The sequence below is a fragment of the Homo sapiens genome, chromosome 17 (assembly GCF_000001405.40).
Source record: "Homo sapiens chromosome 17, GRCh38.p14 Primary Assembly".
Classification (NCBI taxonomy): Eukaryota; Metazoa; Chordata; class Mammalia; order Primates; family Hominidae; genus Homo; species Homo sapiens.
This window is the reverse complement of record NC_000017.11, coordinates 18602081-18616568: the sequence shown is the minus strand read 5'-3', so window position 1 is coordinate 18616568 and position 14488 is coordinate 18602081. Positions and strand designations below refer to the sequence as shown.

At 37.6% G+C, this 14488-nt stretch overlaps 1 long non-coding RNA gene and 1 pseudogene across 2 annotated transcripts in view; one reads left to right on the top strand and one right to left on the bottom strand.

Moving 5' to 3' along the window:
• CCDC144BP (coiled-coil domain containing 144B, pseudogene) overlaps positions 1-14488 on the top strand; it is an 87818-nt pseudogene that overhangs the window by 9049 nt on the left and 64281 nt on the right. Inside the window, exons 3-6 of the transcript NR_036647.1 lie at positions 6277-6525; positions 8599-8672; positions 9950-10789; positions 12829-12965. The product of NR_036647.1 is annotated as a coiled-coil domain containing 144B, pseudogene (transcript). The remainder of the gene's footprint in view (positions 1-6276; positions 6526-8598; positions 8673-9949; positions 10790-12828; positions 12966-14488) is intronic.
• On the bottom strand, positions 669-6936 carry LOC107985051 (uncharacterized). Its single transcript, XR_001752812.2, has 3 exons — positions 6637-6936; positions 6102-6190; positions 669-4928 (listed from the first exon to the last, which is right to left on the bottom strand). It is a non-coding gene; the product is annotated as an uncharacterized LOC107985051 (long non-coding RNA).

The window sequence follows — 14488 nt, the reverse complement described above, 5'->3', positions numbered from 1 at the left end:
GATATTTCTGCTCTTACTGCTTCCTTTTGAATTCCATTCCTAAAGAAAATACTATTAGAACACATTTCAAATGCACTTCTTTATATCTGCACCACAATGACACAATGATGGTCTGCCAAGATTTTAAGTGTCTTCTGGGTTGTCAAATACAAATTGTTTTATCTGACATAGTTTAAATGTGAAGTGCTTTTGTGGTATTACATTTCTTCAGAAATTGGTAATCTGTGATTTAACTAGAATATGTGGTCAATTGGATTACCACACTTTTAACCATCTATACATAAGATGTCTCTTCTCCCGGCCAGATAAGTTAAAAGTCCTGTTGATCCTTACTGATCAGTTCCACTATTTGCAGGGCTTTTTTGGACTTTTTTTGTTGTTGTTGTTGAGACGGAGTCTGGCTCTTCCACCCAGGCGGGACTGCAGTGGCGCTATCTCGGCTCACTGCAAGCTCCGCCTCCCGGGTTCACGCCATTCTCCTGCCTCAGCCTCCTGAGTAGCTGGGACTACAGGCGCCCGCCACCGCGCCCGGCTAAATTTTTGTATTTTTAGTAGGGACGGGGTTTCACCGTGTTAGCCAGGATGGTCTCGATCTCCTGACCTCGTGATCCACCCGCCTCGGCCTCCCAGAGTGCTGGGATTACAGGCGTGAGCCGCCGCGCCCGGCCTGGACTTTTTTTTTGAACGGGTGTGATTATAGCACACTGCAGCTTTAGTTCCTAGCCTCAAGCAATCGTTCTGCCTCAGCCTCCTGAGTAGGTGGAACAACAGATGTGTGCTACTGCACCTGGCCTGCTGCACAATTATTATAAAAATGAATTAAATCCTACCTAGTGGGAGAAAATTGACTGTGATCTTATAATTTTTTGTTCCAGAAACTTTTATACTGTAGAATATATTGTCAGTCATTAAGATTTTCTATTTTTAATTGAGTTAAAATAGGATTGTTGCTTTTAAAAATTACTTTCTGACATCATTGTTTCATGCATTTTTAATGCCTTTAGTCCAGTGGATATAGAAGTACAGGAATCTCCAAGGCAAATGTCAAAAAATAAAAAATAAGCAGATTAGGGAAAGGTATTCTGTGAAATTACCTTCTGATTGTAGTCACATGTAACACATCAACTTAAACAATAAAAAATTGTTTAATGCAATTGTATCAGGGGTTCCCAAGACCCCCTTCACTGAGGTTTGGTAATTCACTGAGAAGGACTCACAGGACTCAGCAGATAGTCATACTTGGGGCTTTGATTTATTACATTTAATACAGCAAAAAGACACAAAGCAACATTTGAGAAAGGAAAAGGTGCATGTGTCAAAGTCTGGAGGAAGCCAGGCACAAGCTACAGGAGTCATCTCCTGTGTAGCTAGCAGGATATGCTTAATTCCCCCAGCCTCAAATTTTGACGACACATGTGCAATGTTGTCTACCTTACCAGAGTTTCATTAGAGGCTCAGCACCCATGTTTTCGATGGAGGCTAGTCACATAGGCCACCTCTCCTCTCCCTCACATGTAACAAAACTCTAGACTCCCAGGAGGAAATTAATTGTTCATAGTAAACCACATTTGCACAAACACTTTAGGCACAGTGAGCCACTCCCTTCTTCTAAGTTAGGGAATGCTGGGAACCCTCCCAAATTCAAGGTCCCAAACACCAGCCAAGGACTAGCCTTGCAAGCAAGCCTTTCTAAGGATGGGTGTCTCATGCCTGCTATATGAAATCTTTGCTGCCCAGCAGCTATGCCCCTGAGTAAATTTTTGGTGTTATCTTAACATTTTATATAATACAATAGCAAATAATATGATAGACCATAACATGGTACTGGTTTCAGCTGCATCATTCATATTAAATAGCAAGGCTGCTTACAGTTTTGACATTTGGTGAATACTTAACAGGTATTGGTACATAAGTTACTATGGCAATATTAAGTAATTATAATCTGTCCTTCTTATCTGATTAACCTTTCAGTAAAATTGTGGGATAAAGTAGGCATAATAAGTTCTGATTTAAAATTAGAATAAAAATTGTCTTTCATTTTATTTTCATGGATGGACCAGTTTTGATTCATATTGTACTAAATCCCTGTTTACAATTATGAAATAAGATCAGATATTCAATCATTTTTGTGAATTTTTTTTTGCCTAAGTATACAATTAAAATTAATTGCTTTATGTGTTTTTATATGCTTCAATTTCGGAGATAGTACTCGTATTCTGTTACCTTGATCTTTAGTGATTTGCAATTTTCAAGGTGACTCTGTCTTTTTATAATTTAGGGTAATAGCAAGTTCAGTGAGTATGTGCTTTAGAATTAATAATATTATTTTCTGAGCAGTTCTAGATTCACAGCAAAATTGAGAAGGTACAGAGATTTTCCATATTCCCCATGACCCCTGACATATGAATAGCCTCCCTCATTATCAGTACCCCCCATCAGAGTTCATCAGAGTTACAGTTGAGGAATCTACCTTGACAGACACATCACCCCCAAGGTCCACAGTCTACGTTAGGGTTCACTCTTGGTTTTGTACATTCTATGGTGTTGGACAAATGTGTGATGGCATGTATATACCCTTGTAGTATCACAGACAAAATAGTTTCACTGCCCTAAATATCCTCTGTCCTCCACTGTTTCGTCTCTTCCTCTCCACTGGTTTCTGGCAACCATTGGTCTTTTTGGTGTCTCAGTAGTTTTGCTTTTTCCAGACTAGTCATATAGTTGGAATAAAACAGTGGTGGATATCTTTTTGAATATTTAAACAATAAAGTTCCATGGTAATTTGATTCTGTCATTTTAGATGTTCTTTGTCCTTGTGTTTGTTTTCCTCATGTTGTGTTCATCAGAACAGGATCTGATGGCGTATGATTTGACGTGCTGAGAAAGCGTGATTTCTGTAGATGTTTGCCACGTAACGGGGAGGGTGGGGAAAAATGGCATCATGCAGTATTCCACAGCACTAACTGGACCATCGTGCTCTAGGAGATGGGTCCAGATAGAGTCTAGCGATGGGACGGGATAATCTCAAGAGCTGGACTTTATAAAACTGGAATCACAAAGTCTTGCATACTTACCTTGCACTTAAAAAGAAGATCAGGCAGTGAACACTACAGGTGAATAAATATGTTCCTCTCTGGTTCTCTTCCTTTTAGGGATGAGCTTGAAAACAGTCTATATTATTAGAATATGGCTCATCTACAACTAAATGCTCTGTCATAGGAAATGCCAGTGTTTTTCTTTACAATAAATGAAAAATAATGTTGTTTTCACCAGAGAGAGTAACAACTGTTGGCACATTCTGGCAGCTTGAGTGAGCTGATAGTTCTGTTTATATATATTTTTCATACCAGGTAGTACTCCCTGGCAACCTGCCACCACTGTGGCAGTGTTTCTTCTTAAGCTTCTCACTGAATGAATGGTGTGGCTCAGAGTGAATAAGCTCTTTAAGGGAGTGATCTTTCCAGTGGTTCTGTCCATAGGAGGTAAAATGGGAGGTGAATTTGAGCCTTGTTTGTGCTAGGGAAAATAGCTAGAACTCAGTAAACATTGCCAGCATCTGCCCCAGAAGAGGATTAGTGAGAGTGAGTACATTGATCTCCCTTGAGCTCTTCTCCACTGGCAGCTGAAAAGTCTTTGCAAAGATCCTTATCCCTGGTCTCTTCCCTATGTTTTGCCACAGAACACAGCACAGCACCCATAGACCTACACAATAAAATGTACAGTTTTCCCCCCTTATCCATGGGGGTTATGTTCCAAGACCCCCAGTGAATGCCTGGAACAGTGGATACTACTGAACCCTAGATATGCAATGTCAGGATAGAAGGAAGAGGATAAGAGTAAAAGGGGGAATAAAGAATGTGGAAGGCAGAGAGTACAGAGAGTAAATGAAGGGAAAAGAAGCAAGTGGATATGATGGAGGGTGGTAAAATGAGATAATACTTCAAAAGAAGAGTGGGGTATTAGAAAGGTGGAAAGAATATAAGGTGAACGTGCAGCACCAAAACTTATCAGATAAGACAAACTTTACTTGCCAATATGTTAGTTGTGCTTTAAGTTTAATTATTTCATCATAGTGTGGCTATACTGATGATTTTAAGCCAGTCAGATATTCTGGTCAGCAAATCATGTGTGTGTGTTTTGATTATCAAAAACGAAGAAAGCAATTAATTACCCTTAATAACTACATGGTGGACACAGTCTTTTAAAACATTGATTCTGAAACTTTTTGGCCTGGGGTTCGTTTTATATGATTAAATATTATTGCCTAGAGGTAACCAACACCCTGAATTAAGAATTTATTATGTCCATTCCCTTTTAAAACATTTTATTACATATGTGTATGGTCATAAATAATATGTAGAATTTGTTTTCATGTCCTAAAATTGTATATAAATTGTTTTACACTCTACATATTTTGCAACTTTCTTTTGTCTGGTCACATTACATTTTTGAGGTCAGTCCTTATTGACACAGGAAGCTCTGGTTTTCTATCAAATGACTGGATCTCAAACTCTCTTCATAATGATAAATAAATAATTAAAATAAAGAAAAATTATTGCAAATTCCAAAGAGCTTTTATTTAAGTCGGTTGTGTCTTTTGATATTTACTATTTTAGAAATAAAAACTAAAATATTTTAAAAACAAGCATGCGGCCAGGCGTGGTGGCTAACGCCTGTAATGCCAGCACTTTGGGAGGCCGAGGCGGGCGGATCACGAGGTCAGGAGATCGAGACCATCCTGGCTAACACGGTGAAACCCCGTCTCTACTAAAAATACAAAAAATTAGCCGGGCGTGGTGGAGGGCGCCGGTAGTCCCAGCTACTCGGGAGGCTGAGGCAGAGAATGGTGTGAACCTGGCAGGCGGAGCTTGCAGTGAGCCGAGATCGCGCCACTGCACTCCAGGCTGGGTGACAGAGTGAGACTCCATCTGAAAAAACAAACAAACGAACAAAAAAAAACAAGCACGCTCAGCCATACATTCCAAAGCCTTTAGAACTATGACCCATTCACCATTAGAGCTATGATGTTATGACACACCATGTCTATGAAAAGCTCCACTGTACACGTGAAACAGAATGAGAGTGAAAATGGCAAATAACATTTTGTATTATTTGACGTCTTGGCCCCTCATCTGGATCTTGAACTCCAGGGATTCTCAGATCATAATTGAGAGTCAACATTTTAAACCACATATGTGGTTGTGGATAAATGCACCCTTTATGAAGAAATGGACTTTAAAGTTTCACTTATGTGTTTTTGGCTTTTTTCTTTCACTTGTCTTAAAAAATTTAAATCTCAGGCCGGGCACGGTGGCTCACGCCTGTAATCCCAGCACTTTGGGAGGCCAAGGCAGGCGGATCATGAGGTCAGGAGATCGAGACCATCCTGGCTAACGCGGTGAAACCCCGTCTCTACTAAAAATAAAAAAAAAAATAGCCGGGCGTAGTGGCAGGCGCCTGTAGCCCCAGCTACTCAGGAGGCTGAGGCAGGAGAATGGCGTGAACCCGGGAGGCGGAGCTTGCAGTGAGCCGAGATTGCGCCATTGCACTCCAGCCTGGGTGACAGAGCGAGACTCCGTCTCAAAAAAAAAAAAAAAAAATTTAAATCCCAACAATTTTGTTTATATAGTAAAAAGGAAAATATTTTTGTTATGTATTCCTTTCCTGTCTCGTGGCACTGTGTGCTATTTGGATCTAGTGTGGTCCTAGACTAATCCTGTTCTCACATGGGAACAGTTAGAGCCCTTACAGCTCTTATTTTGCAAATAAATGTATGAAGTTTATCCAAGTATTTGAAAGGAAATTCTGAAGATAGTGGTGAATTGAGAAAAGACCATCTCATTATAATTAAAATAGTTTTAAAAGTATATTTATTATGAGTTTTTGTAAATCCTGTGTCTCTACAATACATACATACAATGCTGTCATGTATATTTAAGCTTAAAATGGTTAGACATAAATTATGTTTTAAAAAATTTATATCCACAAAGAATCTTAATGGAAAGCAAAATATGTAATAGAGACTGCTGAGTGAATAAAAGTAAGTAATAGTAAACAGTAAAAATGTAGAAAAGTGAGAGATGATAGTTAATTAAACTTACCTGAATGAATTGTAAGCATAGGACATGTAAAATATAATAAGCCTGAATGCATAGTGTGTTGTGGGAGAGAGCAGGATGTGGGACTGTTTCTGTGAAGAAAGCATGTATACAAGTTAGTCAAATTATTGTGTTATTTACATCCTAAAAATGAAAACTTCATTTTCGGATTTTTCAGATTGGCATCCTACTAATTTGACCCTTAGTGATGAGACTTGTCAGAGATCCAAGAATCTGAAAGTTGGTGATAAAAGTCCATCTGTATCACCATCAATGCCTGAAAATCAGTCAGCAACCAAAGAACTGGGACAGATGAACTTAACAGAACGAGAAAAAATGGACACTGGAGTTGTACTTCTCTCAGGGAATGATACTCTCCATGACCTGTGCCAATCACAGCTACCAGAAAACAAAGAGAGCAAAGAAGGTAACAAAGAAGCATAGAGAATTCAGTCCTAGAGTGCCTCTGCTTGGCTGCATAGAGCTATAGTTTTGACTTAAAACTTTTTCTGGTAAAATGTGCTTTGTGTTTACTCACCTTTTGCACTGAACAGAATACCTTTTGGCAGGATATTTGTGTTCTTCCTTTAACCAAAGCAACATCTAGATAACAGAGAATTAGGGGAAAGCATGATTTTCTTTAGGAAGTAGGATTATATTTAGAATATAGGGACTAAGTATGTTTAGGGACTAACATAGGATTATATTTAGGATAACTTAGTAGAGACCTAAAGATTGCTGACTCAAACACAATGTGGTTTCTTTGCTTTATTTTTACAGCTCTGAATTCACAGCTGTTAGTTATAACTATATGCACTATAATTTAAAAGACACCTTCCCACACCTGTAATCTCAGCACTTTAGGAGGCCAAGGTGGGTGGATCACGAGGTCAGTAGTTCGAGACCAGCCTGGCCAATATGGTGAAACCCCATCTCTACTAAAAATACAAAAAAAAACTAGCCGGGCATGGTGGTGAACGCCTGTAGTCCCAGCTACTCAGGAGGCTGAAGCAGGAGAATCGCTGGAACCCAGAAGGTGGAGGTTGCAGTGAGCCCAGATTGTGCCACTGCACTCCAACCTGGGCAATAGAGGAAGACTCCGTCTCAAAAAACAAAAACAAAAACGAAAAAACACCTTCCAAAAGCAAATATTAAGTGACTTCCTATCATTTCTATGACTTTATGTATTATAGAATTGACTTTCCAAGTCAGTAATTAATGAGACTTATTGAGAATTTGCTGCATAGTATCTCCTTGGCTGTGTCCACATGAGCTACCACCTTGCGTTAATAAATGTGTTTGCTAGGGATGTTGGTTTTGGCATTGACAGTGTTCTATCACCAATGCAAATAAGACCAGGGACCACTCTTGAGAACATTAATGTCCAAGCATCTTAAAGTTATACGTAAGGCTTTCATAATGTGATTCTGCTCAGCTCTCCATCTTTAGCCCTTTCCCCTGTGTGCCCTTTCTCTGGCCTTACTGAACTGCTGGTCCTGTCCTGCTGACCCATCCTTCGATTGCAGGCAAACTCATATACTCTTTCAGGCCTCTTTCTGCCTTTTGTTGCTGCCTGTCATGCTCTCACTCTTTCCTGTCCCCTACCCCTTCTAATTAGGCTAGCCTCACTCTTTAAGCCTCAGCTCGGGCAGGATCTCTAGAAAAGTCATCTCTGACATGCTTGCTTTTCACTCTTTAAATCCTAGTGCCTAGCACATAGCAAGACTCAATACATAATTGCTGAGTAAAATAGATAATGACTCTTTGTACAAAGATGATTTTCAAGATTGTTCCCTACAGTCAAGGAGCAGAGGGAATAGACATGTAAAGCAATAATTGACAGTTCAGGTGGTGGAGATGCAGTAGAAAAATCATTAAAGTTCTAGGGCAGCCCTAAGGAAGGAGATACCTAGATACCTGTTTACCCTGGGGAAAGATGAGGATGAGGGTCAACTTCACCTAGCAGTCTGTTTTTTATTTTATGTATTTTATTTATTTATTTTTAGCAGTCTTTTAAAAGATGAAAATATTAATACATTTGTCAGAATAATACAGGGAACCATTTCAGATGTTAGGAAGAGGTTGTACACCAATAAAGGTGTCCACAGTCATTTTGGAAATCATTAATAAGGTACTATTATGAAGTGGAGAACAGTATGCAGCATTGCCTGATAATATTGCTACTGCATTCCAAAGTTTTGTTTTGTTTGTGATGGCTTTGTTCATTGATGTTGGGTGGATGAATCTGTGAGTGAATCTTCAACATGATTGTATTTCTTTTACCTGGTGGCATCTAGTGTCTCCCAGAAAGTGGTTTGTTGAAGTTTTGGAGAATTAGAAGTATTTCTTAAAGAAGTAAGTATTCCACTAAAGATCAAGCTTCATTTAAACTCTCAATTTATGAAATAAAATGAAATGTAATTTAAAATCTATTTTTATAAAGACTATGTCTTTTATCTAACTGTTCTAAGTAGTTTAACTGAACGTTTGGATTTTGCAGCAGAACAAGACTTGGAGCTGACATCAGAGGAAGAGCAAGAAAGACTTAAAGGATGCGAAAATAAGCAGCCACAGGTGTGGAAACATTTAAACTAAAATCTAAATGTCTGGTTTAATACTTTTTTCTTTGCTTTAATAATATAAGCTAGCCCAAATGAAATTACCTCTCAGACTAGCCTTTGAGAATCAATAGATCCTTACTTAATATTTAATTTTAAATACATTTAAACTAGTTATAAAACACAATATTGTTAGAATCTATCATAACTTATAGTTAATCTTTACCCTTGGAGTAGAGGCAAACATTCCAGAATTTTGTTTGCTCTTCCATTCTTACAATATCCTTACAGGATAAAGAAGGTAATGTCAATTATTGACTTATATTATTAAGCAACAGAAATTATGAACAATTTAACAGTGATGGCCACTGAGTTGGATTCATGGTCTAAGAGTAATCATGGCCAGTGGCTCAAATTTTGCAGTTTTATATTGCCAGTTACTAATGCCTAGGTTAAAGATGTGGCCTTTCATTGACTTCACGGTCTACATTCAGTGAGAGTGGGGTTATGAAATCAACCCAACTGCCTATTAAGGGAATCGTACCTTGCAGAATGGGATCTTTGGTGTTAGGGTACAAACAATAAATTTCTAACTTTTTAGATGCAGAAACTTAGTAAGAATTATCTTTAAAGTTTTAGTTAGTGTTATTAGGGGACCGTAGTATATATTAGAACTGAACTGAAGAAGATAGTCTAGATATATAACCCTATGATGTTACAGTATATAATTTGAATTAAAACTTAAGAATTTGCTTTTCTTTCTGATTGGTGTTGATTCGGGCTCCTAATAATTTGAAGATTGCCTACCCTCCAGTTAGTAATCTATAGAACTTACATGTAGTAATATATAGTACTTACATGTAGTAATATGTAGTACTTACATGTAGTAATATGTAGTACTTACATGTACTGTAGGGGCTCACTTTCCAAGTGAGGAAGCCTTTGTAACACTAGAAATCATCTGCTAATTCATTTTTGGTAGAATTAACACATAATGAATTAAGTTTATTCCAAACAAACAGTGACAAAGTTAAGTTTGCTGGTTCATATTTTTCTCCTCCTTTCAGGTAAGACAATTGTTTTTAACTTCTTAGTTACAAGCCAGTGATTTGGGAGTAGCTAAACCTAGATGAAGAAGTTTAACAGTTAAATTTTCATTTTAATTATTTGTGAATTTTTCTTTGTTCATACCTGTTATTTAAGGACAAAGCTATTTTTAAAACATGTAGCCCAACAGAGAAGACACGCAAGAAACAAAACAAGCAAATTAATCTTCCACTTTTGCACCTGCAGAAAACGTCTCAAGAACCAGAAATGGCTAAGGATTGTGATAGAGAGGATATACCTATATATCCAGTACTTCCTCATGTGCAAAAATCTGAGGAAATGTGGATTGAACAAGGCAAATTAGAGTGGAAAAACCAATTAAAACTCGTCATAAATGAGTTAAAGCAGAGGTTTGGTGAAATTTATGAAAAATACAAAATTCCGGCTTGTCCTGAGGAAGAGCCACTACTTGATAACTCTACAAGAGGAACAGATGTGAAGGATATTCCCTTTAATTTGACAAATAACATACCTGGTTGTGAGGAAGAAGATGCATCTGAAATATCTGTCTCAGTGGTATTCGAGACATTTCCTGAACAAAAAGAACCCAGTCTCAAAAATATCATCCATCCATACTATCATCCGTACTCTGGGTCCCAGGAACATGTTTGCCAGTCATCTTCTAAGCTTCATTTACATGAAAATAAATTAGACTGCGACAATGATAACAAACTAGGCATTGGACATATTTTTAGTACAGATAACAACTTTCATAATGATGCAAGCACTAAGAAAGCAAGGAACCCAGAAGTGGTTACGGTTGAAATGAAAGAAGACCAAGAGTTTGATTTGCAAATGACAAAAAATATGAACCAAAATAGTGACAGTGGCAGTACAAATAACTATAAAAGCCTGAAACCTAAATTAGAAAATCTGAGTTCTTTACCACCAGATTCTGACAGAACATCAGAAGTATATCTACATGAAGAATTACAGCAAGACATGCAAAAGTTTAAGAATGAGGTCAACACATTAGAAGAAGAGTTCCTGGCTTTGAAGAAAGAAAATGTTCAACTTCATAAAGAGGTAGGGTTTTACTTGCTGCCACTCTTTGTTTTTTCTCTCAATTATCTGGTCCATTCTGATTTTCCACTTAGGAAAAGCATATGAAAAGCATACAGTTTGGTTGTCTAAATCTGTAATTGTGTGTAGAAACAGAGGATTTCTAAGTAATAGGAGTTTAGGAAAACTTTCTCATAATCTTTGTTTCTTAATTGACCTAAGTCTCTCTGTCAGTCTTCCAAGTGGCGTATGGATTGTGAAACTCATGTAGCCATATATCATGTGACCTTCAGAACCAGGAGAGGCATCAAGAAAATCGCTAAAGGAAATGTGATGAGCTTGAGGGCTTTTTCCTTTTACCGACTTAAAGATGAGTTGTGTCTAACAATAAGATGGGAATACAGTAGAAAGGAAGCAATGACTAAGAAGAGATATAAAAATGTATCTAGCAGGCGTGGTGGCAAACACCTGTAGTCTCAGCTACTAGGGAGCCTAAGGCAGGAGGATCGTTTGAGGCCAGGCATTCTGGGCCGTAGTGTGCTATGCCGATCAGGTGTTCACACTAAGTTCGGCATCAATATGGTGACCTCCTGGGAGCGGGGCACCACCAGATTTGCTAAGGAAGGGTGAACCAGCCCAGGTCGGAAATGGAGCAGGTCATAAGTAACTCCTGTGCTGATCAGTAGTGGGATCGTGCCTGTGAATAGCTGCTGCATTCCAGCCTGGGCAACATAGTGAGACCTCATCTCTTACTAAAAAAAAAAAAAAAAGAAAAGAAAAAAGAAGTATCCAGCCCTGAGAGCTGCAGCAAATATTCCTGGCCAATGAATCTGTTTATTGTGCTTTTCAGGTTTATCTGTTTAACTCAAACTGTTGGAACTTAGAATTGCATCATGACCACTTTAAATATTTTTCAACAACAAGTATATACACTTTAATATATTTGTTAATATAACTACTCTCCACTGTTTCTGTTGAATCAGACCTTTATGTTATGTTGCTTAATAAAGTACAGTAAGTTTTGGCATATATATTTTTTCCATGTAAGTAGCATAAATGCTCAGCCAAACACTTAGTATATGATGCCAAAGTAGAAAGCCGAGTCTTCTACATTGATTAGGGCAGGCCTCCCACCCTCTGCTAAGGCATTAAATTATTTTACCCAAGTCACACTTTTAACCTATCTGATTAATTTGCTGAATTTGTCTGATTCAGCATTATGGAATTGTACTGTCTCTTTTGGTGCCACAAAATGCTAGGTAATGGCACTTTAGGGGCTTTGGATCAATCATTTTAATCTTTTTTGGCTTTAGCCCAGTTATCAATAGAGAGTGAGCTAAAGTAGATTCTTATACTGTATATCCTCCAGCTATAAACTTTTATGGCTATTGAATGTGAAATTTGGGAAGCATCTCATTTCCAGAATTCCACCCTAGCTCAGCAGTTTCACTCTGCTTTTTGTGTTGTGGCAGACTTGTATTTCAGTAAGCACCTTCACCTTTTTGATATCTCAGGATTCAAATGAAAAAAAAAAAAAAAAAGACAAAAGTTAGTGGGGGAAAAGAATAGCTTAGTGCAGAAAAGGGAAAGCTTCCTTTCTTTTCCTGAAACCCCACAGTGTTGTATCCTCTCAATCTGGCTGTTTAATATGAAAGTCAAGTGGCAAAGACAGAAGAAGACACGCTTTGTGTCTTTATCTTCTTATTTCCATGTTTGTGCCAGTCAAATGAGGTAAAAATTCATAATACATAGTGAAGGGTGGTTGGGAATAAAAGCACAAAATTAAGAAGGGCCCTGGTTGAAATTTTGGAAAATTCTGTCTCATTCATTGAAACAGAAATGAAGCTGACTTTACAAAAATGTTGATGATAAAATTATAATAATTATAATTATATGATGATAGTTCCAGATGTGATAAAATTAAAGTAAGCACCAAATATTTTAATGACTAAAATTATAATTAAACTGAGTCAAGTGATGATGAAATCAATGCAAACAGAAAAAAGTTCTTTGTATTGAATAAAGCAATAAGAATCATCCTGAACATCAAACTCTCACTCAAGGTTGAAGAAGAAATGGAGAAGCACAGAAGTAATAGCACAGAATTATCAGGAACCCTAACTGATGGTACTACTGTTGGCAATGATGATGATGGACTAAATCAGCAGATTCCTAGGAAGGAAAATGAAGAGCATGACAGGTAAGCCTATAGCAGCGTTTAACAGGAGACAATTGGTCAAGCGTGGTGGCTCACGCCTGTAATCCAGCAATTTGGGAGGCCAAGGCGGGTGAATCACCTGAGGTCAGGAGTTCAAGACCAGCCTGACCAACATGGATAAATCCCATCTCTACTAAAAATACAAAATTAGCCAGGCGTAGTGGTGCATGCCTGTAATCCCAGTTACTCAGGAGGCTGAGGCAAGAGAATCGTTTGAACCTGGGAGGCGGGGGTTGTGGTGAGCCGTGATCATGCCATTGCACTCGAGCCTGGGCAACAAGAGTAAAACTCCATTTCAAAAAAAAAAAAAAAAAAGCAAAAACAGAAACGAAAACAAAAAACAGGAGACAATTATGTGCTATGAAATGAATCCTAATTTGGGCTAATATTCATGATGAACAGATTTTATACTTTTACTAGGATATTCAGCCTTCCTTGGTTATCAGAAAAATGCAAACTAACAATGAGACACCATGTTTTCCAATCATATTGATATTTTATTTAAAAAATAGGAAGTATTGGCAAATGTGAAGAAAAAGGCATTTTCATACACTTGTTAAATGAAATTGATGAATCCTTTTTGCAGGGTAATTTAGTAGCATGTATCAAAATTTCAAATATGTCACTTCTTTAACCTAACAACTTCACTTTTGGGACAAGATCCTACAGGAAAATATGACTTGTGTAAACACATACACATATGTGTTAAGGACATTTATTACATGTAGTATGTAACATACAATAGGCTAATAGGTTAAATATATATAATGTTAAGTATATATGATATATTTATGTCAAGGATATTTATATATGTTACATATATACTTATGTATAAGGATATTTATTATAGCATTGTAATATCAAGAAGTTGGAGATAGTCTAAATCCTTAGCAATAAGGAAATAGTACAATTGTCATACCCAGAAAATAATGTAGCATGCACTCATTTTAATAAAAGAAGTTGTTAGACCAGGAGTGTACTGATTATTTCACAATTAAAGTCTATTTAAAGCCTTTAGTTTGATGACACATCTTAAGCCAGTTTTGTTGGAATTCTCGTAATATCTGCTGAGTTACAAAAGGAAGCTAGCTACATGCTACATTGACACTGTACCTTGTTAGCAACAGAATTCTAGTTATTAAATTTTTGTTTTTTGCTGTCCATGTGTGAGTGCTGAAATACCAGATCCTCAAATTAATCTGAATATTGCCAAGGGATGGCACATGGGGATTCATGTTCCGTGTCAGCTTTTCAATATACTGGGTAAAACTTACTAAAATACAACAGAGGATCTTAGCTCTACTGAACCAAGAATTGGACAGCTCTTTTTGTAAAGAGCCAGTTAGTAAATATTTTAGGCCTTGTGAATTATAAAGGGCATAAGTGTGGATGCATTTCAAGGAAATTTCCTTATGAAAACAGGCAGTGGGCTGGATTTGCTCCACAAGCACCGATTTGTTGATCCTTGTGCTAAAACCAAGGTGCTGTTATGCAGTGAATCCTCT